Here is a 17,026-nt window from a genome sequence, read left to right on the forward strand (position 1 = left end):
CCACCCCCGTCAGCTCTCTTTCTGCCTGTCCTCTTGCTCCTCTGAGTGTGGCCTCCAGATGTCTCATGTACCTCCCGGGGTCTGTGAATACTAAAACCTCTCGAACTTTAACACTGTCGTCGCCTCATTGAAGCCGCACCCACAATCCAACCCACGATGTGAGGCTGCCCGAAAGCGACCTGGGCAGTTGGATCCCCTCTTGATGTTCTTTTGTCCTGACCTCTGGTGGCTGCTGAGGATGGTCACTAGCAGCTGAGTTGATAGAGAAACTTGAAGAGCTTCATTTAATACTACTGGCATAGCAGGCAGGCTTTTGGCTGTGTCTTGGACACAATCCCAATGTCTGTGTGTGTGGATGACTCACGCACTTCCTGCATCAGACAGCCCAGTCGGTCTGGCCCAGACGGCACTACTGCTTGCTGGTGCTCCATTTTGCTGCTTCGTGCAGCTTAGTACTGCTGTCCTCAGCAGTTAACTTGGAGATTCTCCAGAAATTCCAGTGACCGTGGACGGCTCTTTGAGGCTCCAGGCTCCCCAGCAGCTGCAGGAGGGCAGATCCTATTGTAATGAGGGTGTTTCCCTGTGGGACATCAGAAACCCTTTCTGGGATCAGGCCCCTGACAGGGGGCCACTACTGGAGGGCATGTTGCCCCTTGAGCCATACATGCTTCTCTGGTGACCTAGGGCCTCGGTAGTGGTCCGGCCTGTATTGGCTCTAAGTAGCAAAGTACTGGCCTCCAGCCAGAGAGAGCTGGCCAGGATGCTGAGCTGGCCACCCGGTAGCCCATGGCTCGATCCTCAGCTCTACCTCCATCTTGCTGATGATAGGGCCATGGGCCACCAGGCTCCTGGGGAGCAGCGATTCCACCATAGTGAAGTTGAAGAGGATGACAGAATGCTGGCTTCAGTGTGTCAGTGAAGGGGAGCTGGGTGAAAGGGTCCAGTCGCCTAACTCTAACCTGTGACACGGCAACTGCACCTGAGTCCCCAGGGCACCTTGCAAGAGCCGGTGCTGCTGAGGCCAGTGCCTCCTTGGTTGCTGCATTCCTTGGTGCTATCACTTCTCGTTCTCCCAGCCCCTCAGAGGTCGATCGGGTCACCCTGGAAAGAAAAGCGGCTGCCTACAAGGCCAGTGCAAGTGGAGCTCATTGTTCGGTTTTGAAGAGAAAGTGAGATTAAAGAAAGACACACAAAGACAGAGTGTCTCAACAGCAAATGCAGGCATTTATGTCCAGTATAAACCTGCAGAGGTGCCAGTGCCCACCACTGCTTACAGGCTGGGGCAATTACAGGCCTGGGTGGGAGAGGTCTGGAAGTGGAGCATGGCCCGTTGCCTGGGAAAATGTTGATAACATGTTCCCATGATGAGGCGGTTTGGCACTTGTTCCTGCAGAATGTGATAGTGATGTTCCTTGGGCCTTTGCCCGGCAGAGTGTGATAAGGATGTTCGTGTGCCTTGTGGTCAGGTGGTTGGGCAGGATGTTTCTCATGGCCCGAAACCCCATGGAATGTTTCACTTTGACCAAAGTCTGCAAAATGGTGGGGGGCTTACAAAGTGGTGCAGTTTGGACTAACTCTCAATACCATTTTTTTTTCTTTTTTGGTAACAATGTGTAAAGTGAAAACAGCAGAGTGCTACTCCATACCACTGGGATCTTGTCCAGTAAACATCCAGAGAGTGAGGTTAGGAAATAAAAAGTATATAAATATTAGATGCCTAGAAATGCAAGTCACTTTAAAGATTTTATGTGAAATAGAAAAAAAAGAGAGGAGAGGGACTCATTGTCTTGTAATGGGTCCTTCCCAGAGAGAGGTGACTGTCCAGTGGCACCGGGCCCTTTTCCTCCTTCCCCTTTTACTCTTATCAACTAGGACAGAAACTAAGAATTTTGGCTTCAAGTGGCTAAAAGACTGATGGGGGAAAAAAGAAAATAGAAAAAAATAACAGAGAGACTGACGCTCTAGGCAGTTACAAGTCCAAGAAAAAAGACAGAAACTTTTAACTTTAAGTATTGAGCCAAAACCAGGTCTAGCAAACATAATGCTGGCCCTAGATTATTTATTAATTTATGAAGAAACTTCTAGATATGGGGGTGACAAAAGGAAATTAAATCCATTATATATGCATATATTTTAATGTAAATATATAATAGATAAATTATGTATACATAATATAGAACCAAATTGAAACAGTTTTACAATTTGGTTTGACTGGAAATTCAAAATCCATATATTAATTTTTGTAGTAAAAGTTTATGTAAAAAAAGACAAAAAGGACACTGATTGGCTTTTGTTCCTCTACAATATAGGTTCTAACTTAACTTCTAACATTAGCGGCCGGACGCGGTGGCTCACGCCCGTAATCCCAGCACTTTAGGAGGCCGAAGTGGGCAGATCACCTGAGGTCAAGAGTTCGAGATCAGCCTGGCCAACATGGTGAAACCCCATCTCTACTAAAAGTACAGAAATTAACCGGGCGTGATGCTGGGTGCCTGTAATCCCAGCTACTCAGGAGGCTGAGGCAGGACAATTGCTTGAACCTGGGAGGTGGAGGTTGCAGTGAGCCGAGATTGTGCTACTGCACTCCAGCTGCACGAATTGACAAAATTTATGGACTTCATAGTGGGATTCAAATTATAGTTATACATAGGGATCTCATTAAATTTACTTACTCTACTCCCATAATCTTGAGAAGCTAACTAAAATTTTGAAAAATGAGTAGACCTCACTTTATCTGTAGCGTCGCCTAAATTTCCCAGTCATACAGTCATTGCTCTAAAATATTCTATGTTGGACATAGATTCTGTGACACAATTAATAACAAATTAAAATTAAAGTAAGCTTTTGGCACTTACAAATTGGCTTGATCAAATGAGGCCCCTTAGTCCCCCAGTTAAGATAATTTATTACGGCCCAATAGAAGTTGAAACAGCACCTTCAAGGATTAAAATTTATTATATAAAACCGAATTAATAAAAGCGTGATTATCGACACCACATCTCCATTTAGCAACCCAAAAGTTCTTCCTGTTCCCAAATCTGAAAAAAAAAAAATTCGTAAAAATGCCTTACGATGGATGACTACAGCAGACGGGCTGTTGAGGGCTGCCTCAGCTCTTCAGCCCAGACCAGTGACAGAGCTACCAACACTGCTTCACCTCCTGCAGAGGTAGAGGTACAGGCAATGAGAGGAGGGGGTCAGGGATATTTTTTAGCCCTTTCTCATCCTACCCTCATGCCAGTCCCAGCTTTATCTACCCTTGAGTCATATTAAGCCATTCAAGGATGAGTGGATGAAGTTTTTAATCAGGAAAAAATACTTCCATGCCCCCCAATTTGAGAGTAAGAAATAGAAAATGAGGCTATTGTGGGTGTCATTTCTAATTTCTGGACCTCAGCCTGTACCCTGGGGTAAGTGGAAGTGGAAAAAAACTACAAGAAAACAGAAAGAGTGGTGGGGATTTGTAAGGCTTGGATGAGATAGTATATATTAAAGGGAAAACTTAATTACTTTACCCTTAAGTGTAATGTTTGCTGTCACCTTTTTGTATCTTTCTCTTTTTAATCAGACTGTTGAAGGTGTCTTCTATTCTTACTTTTTAAGAGTTCTCTTCTTCTATTGCTTAAATTATGAATGGATGTTAAATGTTTTCAAATGTAATATCTGCCAATATTAACATGATTATTTTTATTCTTTCATTTACATCGTTACAGATTATTTTATTGTATACAACTGTATACAAACTTCATATGGTTCCTTTCATATAATAAGAATGTAAGCTGTCTGAGGGCAGGAATTGTGGTCTGTATTGCTTACAGATGAATCCTCACCCTCTATGTGTAAAATAGTGTCTGACATGTGGTAGGCACTCAATAAATACTGAATTAATGAATCAATAAATAGTGTCACCTAGATATTTAAGTGAGAAACATTTGATGTCTAATTAAAATTATCTCTGTTACAAATTATTTTATTAAATTAAATTAATTTAACTAAAATTAAAATAACGTGAACCAAGTCATGTCTAGTAAATTCTCATCCTCATGTGCGCAATATTTATAAATTCCCAGGTGGCTTCCATTTTCATGAACACCTTAAATTTTGAGTTTCCACTTCAATACAGTACTCTCACTAACAACTGCCTAATGACTTTGTATTTAAATAAATAAACTCATAACTCAGCCCTTTACCTTGCTTTCTCCACAAAAACACTCAGAAATTGTCAATTTTGTATTGTGTAACATACTTTCCTGATGCACTGGCAAAAGACACCACTCAACATGAATACCAAGGAATCCTGTTATCAATGTCCTCTCTCACTCCACTGCTTTACTCATTCTTCTCGTCTTCTCTAGAGTTCTGTGCATTTCCAAGGCAGAGCAGTTTGACCATTTCATTCACACTTTTGACTCCTATAAATGCTTTCAATTTCCAAAAAAAAAAAAAAAATGTATATTCTTTAATGCCCAACTAAGTTGTGGCCATAGAAAATGAGGAACAATGAAAAAAATGCAAGACAGAAAGTCAGGAGCCACGAAGGACAGCGTGAGACCTCTAGATAGGAGAGCCAGGGCTTCCAGATGGGCTAATTAATAGACTCCCTCTACTGCCAGGACAGGGGATTCTTACCTTTCCTTCCCACTGGCCTTGGTTAATTGCAGTAGAACAGTGTCCGCTACATCTCCCTTTTTTCTTTTCCTCATTAGGAGTTTCCATTGTGGATTCCCAATTCTCATTGCATCGTGGTATATTGGGGCTTTGAAGCTAAGTATTCTTTTAAGTTATGGGACACTTATCACAAAGAAACTTCAACATAAAACGTTGGGGATCTCATCCTTGGGAAGGATGGCTCTACTTCTTCTATTTGGAAGAAGAGTGTAAAGGGATCTTGAGTACCTGAAGGCATAATTCTGGCCAAGACTGACAGCTGCCTAACCAACATTAATCACCCTTCTTCACTGCAGTGAATGCTTATAAGGGTCTGTTGCCTCGGCATCCAGTCTAAATACAAGCTTAATTTTCTCATACGAGGCTCAGGGCTCAGTCACCCTTGACACAGTTTCCAGTTCTACACCACAGTCACGAGTACAAGAAAAAAAAAAGAGGAACTTTAAATTTAAGTACTGGGCAGAATCCAGATCTAGGAAACGTAATCCTAGCCCTGGAATACTTACTGATTTATGAACAAACTTCTAATGGGAGGGTGATAAAAAGGAAATTAAATACATCATATGTATATATGTATATAATATTTTAATGTAAACATAGGACAAATAGGTGAATTATGTACATTTAATATATAACCGCATCAAAACAAAGTTTTACAATTTGATTTGATTGGGAATTCAAAATTCATATATTAATTTTTATACCAAAAAAATTATGTAACAAAAGGATAAAAAGGCACTGATTTGGTTTTGTGCCTTTACAACATAGGTACTAACTTAACTTCAACAACAGCAAAAATGCTCAAATTGACAAAAATTTATGGACTTTACATTGGGGCTCAAATTATAGTTATATATGAGGATCTATCGAGCACCCGATTCTGTGGCTGTTCGGGGCGCCACTATGTAACCTGCCATGATCCCTGGTGGACTGAACAAAGGGGGGTGAATGCAGGAATAAAAGACAAGAGACAAAAGAGTATATTTGGAAGAAGGGGTCCGGGGGCACCTTGCCTCTAGTGGACAAGGCCCTGAGCTTTACACGGCCCTCTGTATTTATTAGAGAAAAGCGATAGTGAGAAGGGGGGTGGAAGAAGAGGTCAGTTGGTTGGTCCAGAGTAGGCTTGCAAGACTGCATTCTCTAGATGTTCCAGTAGATAACTTCAAAGAGCTTGGCGTCAGGAAGCGATTGCCCTCAGCAAACCTTCTGGCGGCAGGCACAGTCGTGAGTTTGCTCACATCCTGTATTCATGATAAACAGTTTGCTGTTTGATCATATAGCCTCCAGTGGAATGCTGAGTTGGTCACGTCCCATGGGCCTTCGGCTCCCTGCATATCCCCCTGTTTATGAATTAATTGAAAGAATGTAAGACCAGGCTGGGCAGCTCTCATTCTCCGATTGGCGGTCCATCCGATTTTACAGACTATAAACAGAAGACAGAGACAAAACAACATTACTCCAAGAACTACATATAAGATGTTACTGTGGTACTTTAGATAGGTCCAAGGGTTGAGGCTCTCCAGGCCTTCCTGGAATTCAGTCCAGTCTTCTAAAGAAGGCTGAAATTCTTGAGTGTGCCTATTTAAATCAAGAATTTTGTTTTGTAATTCACTAATATCAAAGGTGATGTTGGATGTGAAAGCTCCTTGCAAATGGGCTTTCACAAGGTCCCACGGATACTCACTTTTGTTATATTCTAAGTTGGTTACACAAATACGAGTGTGATTAAAATGACAGCGCAATTGCCGCTGCAACTGCAAGCTTTATACTTGTTCCCCTAACCACAGAACCATGGATTTCAACATTGCCACTTCAGTTTGTAACTCAGTGTTAATTTTATTCTGAAGTAGCCTCGCTTGGTTGGCTGTACGTGTCCAATTCTCTACGTACTGAGCCGTTTGAACAGAACTATGCAAAGTTACAGAGGACATCACAACAGAAGTTATTAGTGTGACCAAGGAAACGATAGCAAAAATTATCATGCCTAAGGCTCTACGGGCACAATAAGTAACCTGAAGTAGAAGAAGTTTCACAAAATGCAAAGCAGGTGTGGCAGCCCAAGCCTCGGACAGATTAACAGGAATCCCTAGCCCAGGGATGCAACCTAAAATCATCAAAGTCGAGATATTATGTGTTCGCAATGTGCTATGATTAATGCAGTGATATAACTGGCAAGATTTACAGGTCAACTGGGTATTGTTTACCTGGAGCTGGTCCTTCTGAGCTGCCAAAAAGACATAAGGATTAAAAACACAAACCACAAATTGAGTGGTGATATTCTTTACAAATGTAACATTAAGACTGTGTCGTGACTCCAGTCGGCCTTCTCTCCATCTTTGCACTCAGGCTCAGCTGACTCATGGCTCGTACCGGAGGGACTGGGCCCATGGTTGGCCACCCCATGTTTCTCCAGTCTCCCATTCCAGGGTTGCAAGCACCTTGAGGGCACCCACATGGCTTGTCAATCTCCTGTAAACACACAAGCATACCCTCTTCCCCATGTCAGTAAATCCACCGGGCCTTTCCATTGTCCTTCTTCTGGGGATTTCCATAACACTTTCAGATAAACTTTCCTCTTTTCCTCTAACACTTGCCAATGTCTTTCTGCTGGAGTCTTACCATCCGTACCAGGAGTCAAAAATTTTAAAGTAAATAAGGCTAAATGTAGTTTTGATTGAGGTGGTAGTTGGCCTCCTATACCCCCTTTTTGTCTTTTCAACATTCGTTGTAATGTTTGATGTGCCCATTCTATAATGCCTTGTCCTCTAGGATTATAAGGAATTCCTGTTTTATGGGTTATAGCCCAAAGCTGTAGGAAATTTTGAAAAGCATGACTAGTATAAGCAGGTCCATTGTCAATTTTTAATTGTTTAGGTATTCCCATATGAGCAAATGATGACAGACAATGTCGCTGTACATGACCAGCTGTCTCACCTGTTTGGCATGTACCATGCAGCATATGAGAATAAGTGAAACAAATTAAGCAGTTCTGGGTCTAGCGTACTTTTAACTGTAGCAGTTTCTATGCGAATGGCTAAATTTACAACATAAGCTGAACAAGAAGAATCTCCTTGCAGGGTTTGGTAAAGATGTGTAAGTTGATAGGTAGCAATACCTAACATCGGGCGTAGCCAATTAATATCTCCTAATAATTGCTGAAAATCATTTAAAGTCTGTAACCTGTCTTTATGGTTGACAATGTTGATTGTAGCCTGCCACGATCCCTGATGGACTGAACAAAGGGGACGAGCGTGGGAATAAAAGACAAGAGATAAAAGAGTATATTTGGAAGAAGCGGTCAGGGGGCAGCTTGCCTCTAGTGGACAATGGCCCTGAGCTTTACACAGCCCTCCGTATTTATCAGGCAAAAGAGATAGCAGGAAGTGGGGGGGGTGGTTGCTGGCTAGCAGCCTGATTCACAGCAGGCTTGCAAGACTGCATTCTTAAAACAGTAGGCGCTAGATTTCTCAATAGATAACTCTCAATAGATAACTTCAAGGAGCCAGGGAGTGAGGCCCTCCACAAACCTTTTGGTGGCAGCGCAGTGTGAGTTTGCCACATCCTGCATTCATGATAAACAGTTTGCTGTTTGATCATATAGCCTCCAGTGGAATGCTGAGTTGGTCACGTCCCATGGGCCTTCGGGTCCCTGCAGTTGATAGGATCTGAAGCTGTGAGCTGTAAAACCTCACAGCTGACTGCAACTAGCTCTGAGCATTGACCTGAAACCCCAGAGATCCTTATTGTTTGAGTATGTTTTAGTCCATAGATGGCAGCATGACCTTTGGAAGAGCCATCAGTAAAATAAGTCTGTCCACCTGGAATAGGTTTGTGATGAGTAATCACAGGAAGAATGAAAGAATGGATTTTATAAAACTGTAAAATTTTGTCTGAGAGTAGTGGTTATCTATCACGCCCATGAAGTCTGCGAAAGCAGTTTGCCAGGCAGTCGACATTTCCCAAGCTGCAGCTTGTTGCTGAGAGTCTAAAGGAACAATAATTTTGTCAGGATCATATCCTGTAAGCATTTGTGACCTATGCCTGCCCATAGTCACAATTTGTGTAATTAAAGAAAGATAAACTTGCAAGGTTTTGACTGTTTGATTAGATAGAAAGAACCATTCTATTACTGTTACAGACTAGTCTATAAACTGGCCCAAAAGTCCTGTTGGAGAGTAGGGGGTAGGAAGAATAAACAAAAGCAAAGGTTTTTGTGGTTGTAGCCATGAGGCATGTCTCTGCTGTAACATTTGCTCTACAAGCTGTAATTTGGCTTCTGCCTCTTTAGTTAGTTGCTGCAGGGAATTTAAAGAATCTCCGTGCAGGGTTTGGTAAATATGTGTAAGTTGATAGGTAGCAATACCTAACATCGGTCATGGCCAATTAATATCTCCTAATAACTGCTGAAAATCATTTAAAGTCTATAACCTGTCTTTATGGAGAACTACTTTCTGAGTCCATACACTTCTCTCTGTAACAATAGTTCCTAAGTATTGGTATGGGGAAGTTGTTTGTACCTTTTCTAGAGCTATTTTGAGATTCCATTTAGTCAAAGCCTGCTTTGTTTCTCTGAATAACTGATGTAGGTTTTGATCTGTAGGAGCAGCCAAAAGAATATCATCCATATAATGAATGATGTAAGCAGTAGGAAACATATTCCGAGGCTTCTTTAATGCCTGTCCTACAAAATGCTGACATAGCGTAAGACTGTTAAGCATGCCTTGGGGTAAAACTCTCCATTGATAATGAGAAACAGGTTCTCTTTGATTAATAGAAGGCACAGAGAATGCAAATCAAGGCTTATCCTTCTCGTGTAAGGGTGTAGTAAAGAAACAATCCTTAAGATCTATTACTACAAGAGGCCAGTCTCTTGGAATAGCCGCTGGAGATGGTGAAAGTTTTTGTAAGGCACCCATCAGTTTTATGTGTACATGAATAGCTCTTAAATCATGTAGTAGTCGCCATCTTCCGGACTTTTTTGGAAAAACAAACACTGGAGAATTCCAAGCTTATGTGTCCGGCATCCCATTGTTCTTTTACTAGCTGCTGAAGTTGCATCAGGTTCTCCTGAGATAGGGGCCATTGATCCACCCACACGGGTTTGTCACTGAGCCATTCTAATAGTGAGGCAGTGGGCAGAGGAGAAATATCAATGACCCTCGTCAGAAATCCTGACGTCCTAGCCCTTTTCTATCTGTTTTTCCAGTTACTGATATTGGGTTAGGATTTCCTTGAAGAAATTTTCCTAAACATTTTCCCCTCTGATATCTCATGTTCTTCAACATTTTAAATCCTGGGTTATCAAAGTTTTCATTTGTAAGTCTCATATTCCATGTTATAAGTAAGTCTCAACCCCATAAATTGATAGCTATATTTTCAACATAAGACTGAAAAGTACATGACTGTCCATCTGGACCAAGACAAGGTAAAATCTCAGTGCTCTGTTGAACACTTTGAGCTGTTCCTACTCCCACTAGGGATGTAGAAGTTAATTGCAAGGGCCAGGATGGGGGCCAACTGTCTTTAGATATGACTGACACATCAGCTCCCGTATCCATAAGCCCATAAAATTTCTTTCCTTTAATGTGTACTACACAGGTAGGTCTATTAGAGGCTATGGGTTGGGATAGATAGATTTCTCATGTAGTTGTGCTCCCAACCTCTTTATTTTCTCATTTCTCCTTTCATGGAGAAGGGTGTGATTTGCAGGGAATAAGCAATAATTGAGCAGTATATTGTCCCAGCTCAAAACCCAAAGATCTTGTGACATTAAAACTACTTGAATTTCTCCTTCATAATCAGAGTCAACAACTTCTGGGACTACAGTAATGCCCTGTAAGTTAAGGCAGATTTTGCCTAAAATTAGTTTCACATATCCTGCTGATAAAGGTCCCCAAATATCAGTGGGAACTTTGATGGGTTTGTCTGCCCCAACTAACATTACCCATTCTTTGACTGGGAGATCTAATCCTGCACTCCTTGTGTTCCTGGGGTGAGGGAATCAATGTGCCTCTGGGAACCCATGCCTGGAACGGGGTTGAGGTCTGGACTGGGAATGCCCTCATTGTTTGTGGGGCCTGGGTCCAGGCCCCCATCTCATTTCCCAGCAGGGGGGTGCCATTCTGATGAAATTTTGAGCGGCACTGATTAGCCCAGTTATTTCCTCTGTTACGCAAGGACAAAGTCCTGGCATTTTTTCCACTGGGTGGGGCACTGCATTGTAAGGTCCTTTCTGTACTGAGATCTGGCGGCATTCCTTTTTAAAATGTCCAGGTTTTTCACAATTATAACATTTTCCCACTTTAGGGTTTGACCCTTGGCTCCTTTTAGATTTGTCAACTGCTAAATTAGCCACTGCTTGCGCTAATATTGCAAAGTGATGAAGCTCAGTTCCTACATCTTGACAAGCTCTGAGAAAACTTCCCAAGTTTTTTATACACCTCACCAGTGCCAGTGCATGTTTACAATCCGCGTTTGCATCCTCAAAAGCTAGAGTTAAGGTTAGCATTTCTGCAGCCGTGGTATGAGGAATCTGACGCTTCACTGCCTCTTGTGATCTTGTAAGAAATTGCACATAGGGTTCCTGTGACCCTTGCATATGTAAAAAGGATTGTACTGGGACTCCCTCTTCAGGAATTGCGGCCCAGGTGCATTTAACAGCCTGTGCACACTGCTGATAAGCAGCGTCTGGGAGTGCCATTTGACTTTCCAGGTCTGAATAAGGGCCATTACCTAATAGCATATCCTCTGTAATGTCTCCGTGTCCAGCAACATGGTTCTGTTTAGCCTGGTCTGCACACATTTCTTGCCAATTTAAATTCCATGTCAGATATGCACTAGTGGACAAGCAAGTTCGCATCAAGTGTCTCACATCAAAGGGTAAAAAACGCATAGCACCAAACACAGATTCTAGCAATCCTAAGGTCAACCGGCTCTGTATGCCATTATTTACCACTCTCGCTTTTAATTCCTTCAACAACTTACTCTAGTGGGGTGTGTTCATGAATAACCTGCTGTGGATTGTTGGGATCAGGCCTTATGGAAATAGGAAAAGTGCAAGGTCCTAGGGGCTCTCCAGCTATGGCAGCAGAGCATAAAATTCTTTGTATTGGGGTCTCTAGTTCTGCTACCAAAGGAGGCAATACAGATGTTTCTGCAACTGGAGGAGGCTGTATAGGCCAATTTTTATCCTCCCTCTCCTGTTTTTTATTTTCATCTGGAGCTGTGAGTGGGACAACAGATTCTTTCAGATTTTTAGATTCAGCCTGTTGTCCCACAGAATAATAAGGAGATAATGGCAGAAGTACAGTATGAACTAAACTCCAAGTGGAGAAAACAGAAGGATCAATTTTAAGACCTTTTTGATGAGCCCATTTTAATCCTTCTGCTCTGTCCCAATTTTCCACATCAAGGGTGCTGCCTGTGGAAACCATGGGTTATGTGTAATAACCTCCTGCAGCAGCTAAGTTAATGTCTGAGAACTAACCTGAGCACCAGTTTGTTTCAACAGAACTCTAAGCAACTGCACATAATTATTTTTTTCAGTAGACGAATTCTGCCCCATGTTACCGTGATTCAGAAAACTTCCCATTCCCAGTACTTCTTTAAGGAACTGATCCCAGTACCTCTTTAGGCGCTGACCTCATGTGCGCTGCCAGCTGACTCATCCCAGGGTCCCCATTTGCGTTGTCAATTTCAGTTCCTCTATTCCAGGAGATCTTCTTCATTCACATCCTCATAGTCCCGTGTTCAGACTGTCGCCTGTTTGAGTGCCACTTGTAGAGCCCCTGATTCTGTCGCTGTTCGGGGCACCACTATGTAACGTGCCATGATCCCTGGTGGACTGAACAAAGGGGGATGAACACGGGAATAAAAGACAAGAGACAAAAGAGTATCTCTGGAAGAAGGAGTTAGGGGGCACCTTGCCTCTAGTGGACAAGGAGCTCGGCACCAGGAGGCGACTCGCCCTCAGCAAACCCTCTGGCAGTGGGAGTAGTCGTGAGTTTGCCCACATCCTGCATTCATGATAAACAGTTTGCTGTTTGATCATATAGCCTCCAGTGGAATGATGAGTTGGTCATATCCCATGGGGTCTTCGGCTCCCTGCAAGGATCCCACTAAATGTACTCACTTTGCCCATATTGTCTTGAGAAGGCAACTACATATAAAATTTTGAAAAATGAGTATACCTCGCTTTAACTACAGCCTTGCCTAAATTACCCATAGTCATACCTATTGTTCTAAAATAGCCTATGTTGGAGGTAGGTTGCTCTAAAACAGAATATGTTGGAGGTAGACATAATAAATAATACATTAAAATTAAAGTAAATTGTTTGCACTTAGAGATTGGCTTGATAAAATGGGATCACTTAGTCCCCCAGTTAAGATAGTTAATATGGCCCAACGTAGGGTGAAATAATGGCCTTCAATAATTAAAATTTGTTAAACAAAACGTGATTAATAAAAGGGTGACTATCCACATTGCATCTCCACTTAACAGCCCAAAGTGCTTCTTGTTCCCATATCTGAAAATAAAAAATATCACAAAGAATGTCTTATGATGGATGACTACAGCACTAAGGCTGTAGTCCCATCTATCAGGGCCCCCATATCTAACATCTAATATTATTAAAAATTGCTAATACTATTCAATCAAGAACTGGTAAACATTTTGCTCTCATTCATTTGGCTAGCATGTTCTGTTAAGTGCTTATTTCTACAGACCCTCAGCTACAGTTGCCTCCACCTCTGAAGAAACACAATACACCTTTCCAGGCTACCTAGGGGTACCCTCATAGCTTTGGCATCACACACAAGCTTTGCAGACAGGAGCTTAATGACATCCACAGTCTCCATAAGCACAGGTGCAGCATTACATTGAGGACAACCTCCTCTAAGAAGATTCACTTGATACACACATTACAGTCATTTAATTCGTCTCTTAGTCCATTCAAGGTACTATAACAAAATTTATTATGCTGGATAATTTGTAAACAACATAAATTTAGGCCAGACGTGGGGGCTCATGCCTGTAATCTCAGCATTTTGAGAGTCTGAGGTGGGTGAATCACCTGAGGTTACAAGTTTGAGACCAGCCTGGCCAACATGGTGAAACTCTGTCTCTACCCAAAAATACAAAAATTAGCAGGCATGGTGGTGAACCTGTAGTTCTAGCTACTGGGGAGGCTGAGGTAAGGGAATTGGTTGAACCCTGGAGATGGAGGTTGCAATGGGCCGAGATCACGCCACTGCACTCCAGCATGGGTGACAGAGTGATGCTCTGTCTCAACACACACACACACACACACACACACACACACACACACACACCCCATAAATTTATTGATCACAGTTCTGGGGGCTGTAAAGTCCAAGATCAAGGTGCTAGCAGATGCAGTATCTGGTGAGGGCCATTACTCACAGACAGTGCTTTCTATGAGTCCTCACATGGTAAAAGGGAAAGACAAGTGCCTATAGGACTCTTATAAGGCACTCATCCTACCTATGAGGGCAGAACAATCATAATTGAAAACCTCCACCTTTTAATACCATCACCTTGGTATGAGCAACCTCATTTATATTTTTATTTTTATTTTTATTTTTGGCCCAGGGAATGATCTAAGGATGTCATGTTTCAGTGGTGAAAGATAAGGACAGGTCCTGAAGAGACTCTGAAGGAGTCTTTATAAAGGAGGATGGGATGTTTTCCTTTTTTTTGAGACAGAGTCTCACTCTGTCACCTAGGCTGGAGTGCAGTGGCGTGATCTCGGCTCACTGCAAGCTCCACCTCCCGGGTTCACGCCATTTTCCCACCTCAGCCTCCCGAATATCTGGGACTAGAGGTGCCTGCCACCACGCCCAGCTAATTTTGCTTTTGTATTTTTAGTAGAGATGGGTTTTCACTGTGTTAGCCAGGATGGACTCGATCTCCTGACCTCGTGATCCACCCACCTCGGCCTCCCAAAGTGCTGGGATTACAGGCATAAGCCACCGCAGCTGGCCGATGTTTTCCTCCTTTATAAAATGAGACAGGCATGTGAATGAAGCCAGTTTTTTTGTTTATCTTCATCCTTCTGGCTCTGGAGGGCCCGTTGATGTGATGTCCAGAACAGTGGCAGCCATTCTGTGGTCACTTTCAAGAAGCCCCTGGAAGAAAGCCAATAGGATGGTGAAGCAAAGGGCTTAAATGAAAACCAATTTTTATTTAGACTCAGATTCTATCTCCTTGCAAAACTTTTTGTAATAGTAAATTCCTTCTTGGTTTATGTGCTTCATATGTTTACTATACTTTATCACTGAAAACATCCTTTGGTATAGTGATTCGGGGAGAAAAGAAAAAATAGTTGACTCCTGTTTTCTGCGTCTCCACTTGTCTTCATGGTTGTGTTGTTTCAGCCGGAGGACAATGTCCTGATGTTGCTTAAAATCTCAGAAAGGGCCCATCTCCTCCGATTTAGACCTTTAACTCTTCTCAGATTAAGATATTTGAACTAAATTTGTTGTAATTTTGTCTATTAACTAATCCTTAGAGCTGCGTTGCAGGTCCCACAAATTATCTCCCTCTGGAGCAGAAGGTTAAGGGGTTAATCTTGGTAATGATATTGGATAACGGGTACTCTCTCATGCATCTGCCTCACCTCTCAAGGTTTTTGTTTTTTGTTTGTTTTGTTTTTTTGTTTTGAGACAGAGTCCAGCTCTGTCACCCAGGATGAAGTGCAGTGGTGTGATCTCGGCTCACTGCAACCTCCATCTGCTGGGTTCAAGTGATTCTCCTGCCGCAGTCTCCTGAGCAGCTGGGACTACAGGCATGTGCCATTCTGCTGGGCTAATTTTTGTATTTTTAGTAAAGATGGGTTTTCGCCATGTTGGCCAGGCTGGTCTTGAACTCCTGACTCGGGTGATCTGCCCACCTCGGCCTCCCAAAGTGCAGGGATTACAGGCATGAGCCACTGCACTCGGCCTAAAAACCACTTTTTTTGTTTGTTTGGTTTGGTTTGAGACACAGTCTCACTCTGTCCCACAGGCTGGAGTGCAGTGGCGCCATCTCAGCTCACTGCAACCTCCACCTCCTGGGTTCAAGAGATTCTCCTGCCCCAGCCTCCAAAGTAGCTGGGACTACAGCCGCCTGCCACCACGTCTGGCTAATTTTCGTATTTTTAGTAGAGGCGGGGTTTCACCTTGTTGCCCAGGCTGGTCCTGAACTCCCGACCTCAAATGATCCGCCCACCTCGGCCTCCCAAATTGCTGGGATTGCAGGCGCGAGCCACCTTTTATCACATCTCATTTTATGTTAGTGAGGTTATTTAGGGCGAGGTCCCTTGATAGGCTCAGGTTAGGGCTGACCACCACAAAAATCAAGTGACTAGAGGGTTGGAGCTTTCAGCCCCACCCATTGACTTTCAGGAAGGGGAAGTGGGGACTGGAGATTGAGCTCTATAAAAAAATGTTGGCTGGGTGCAGTGGCTCATGCCTGTAATCCCAGCACTCTCGAAGGCCGAGGTGGGTGGATCTCAAAGTCAGGAATTCGAGACCAGCCTGGCCAACATGATGAAACTCTATCTCTACTGAAAATACAAAAATTAGCCAGGCATGGTGATGTGCGCCTGTAGCCCCAGCTACTCAGGAGACTGAGGCAGGAGAATTGCTTGAACTGCTTGAACCTGGGAGGTGGAGGTTGCAGTGAGCCAAGATCCCGCCACTGCACTCCAGCCTGAGGGACAGGGTGAGACTCTGTCTAAAAAAAAAAAAGGTAGACACCAGGCACGGTGGCTCACACTTGTCATCCCAGCACTTTGTGAGGCCAAGGTGGGCAGATCGCTTTAAGCCCAGGAGTTTGAAACCAGTCTAGGATACATGGCGAAACCCTGTTTGTACAAAAAATTAGTCAGGCGTGGTATCTCACGCCTGTAGTCCCCACTACTTAGGAGGCTGAGGCTGGAGAATCCCTTGAGCCCAGGGAAGTGGAGGTTACAGTGAGCAGCGATCATGCCACTAGACTCCAGCCTGGGTGATAGAATGAGACCCTGTCTCAAAAAAAAAAGAAAAAAGAAAAAAGAAAAAGAAGAAGAAAAAGAAAAGAAAAGAAATTAGCCAGGCATGGTTCCAGGTACCTACAGTCCCAGCAACTCAGGAGGCTGAGGTGGGAGGATCACTTGAGCCCAGGAGTTTGAGGCTGCAGTGAGCTGTGACTGCACCACTACACCCCAGACTGGGGAAGAGAGTGAGATCCTATTAAAAAAAAAAAAAAAACCCTTGAGAAATGAGATTAGATGAGCTTCTTGAGTTGGTGAACACAAAGAGGTGCCGGAAGGCTGAGTGCCTGAAGAGAGAGCATGGAAGCTCCATGTACCACCTCAAC

General features: G+C 43.2%; 2 protein-coding genes across 5 annotated transcripts in view; one reads left to right on the forward strand and one right to left on the reverse strand.

Annotated features, from left to right (window-relative positions):
• FPR3 (formyl peptide receptor 3) overlaps positions 1-17,026 on the forward strand; it is a 31,034-nt gene that overhangs the window by 4,007 nt on the left and 10,001 nt on the right. The gene's annotated exons all lie outside the window — the stretch shown is intronic.
• The window catches only part of ZNF577 (zinc finger protein 577), an 83,510-nt gene continuing 71,762 nt past the window's right edge, over positions 5,279-17,026 (reverse strand). For 2 of the 4 annotated variants that reach the window (NR_163433.1, XR_007067021.1), the window contains exons 10-12: positions 14,620-14,814; positions 12,310-12,511; positions 5,279-6,091 (exon numbers count right to left, since the gene is read on the reverse strand). The gene's annotated coding sequence lies outside the window, so the exon portion shown is untranslated. Of the gene's footprint in view, positions 12,512-14,619; positions 14,815-17,026 lie in introns of all 4 variants that reach the window. The other 2 variants (XR_007067020.1, XR_007067019.1) reach the window with 2 other exon arrangements.

Source organism: Homo sapiens, chromosome 19 (assembly GCF_000001405.40).
Source record: "Homo sapiens chromosome 19, GRCh38.p14 Primary Assembly".
Lineage (NCBI taxonomy): Eukaryota > Metazoa > Chordata > Mammalia > Primates > Hominidae > Homo > Homo sapiens.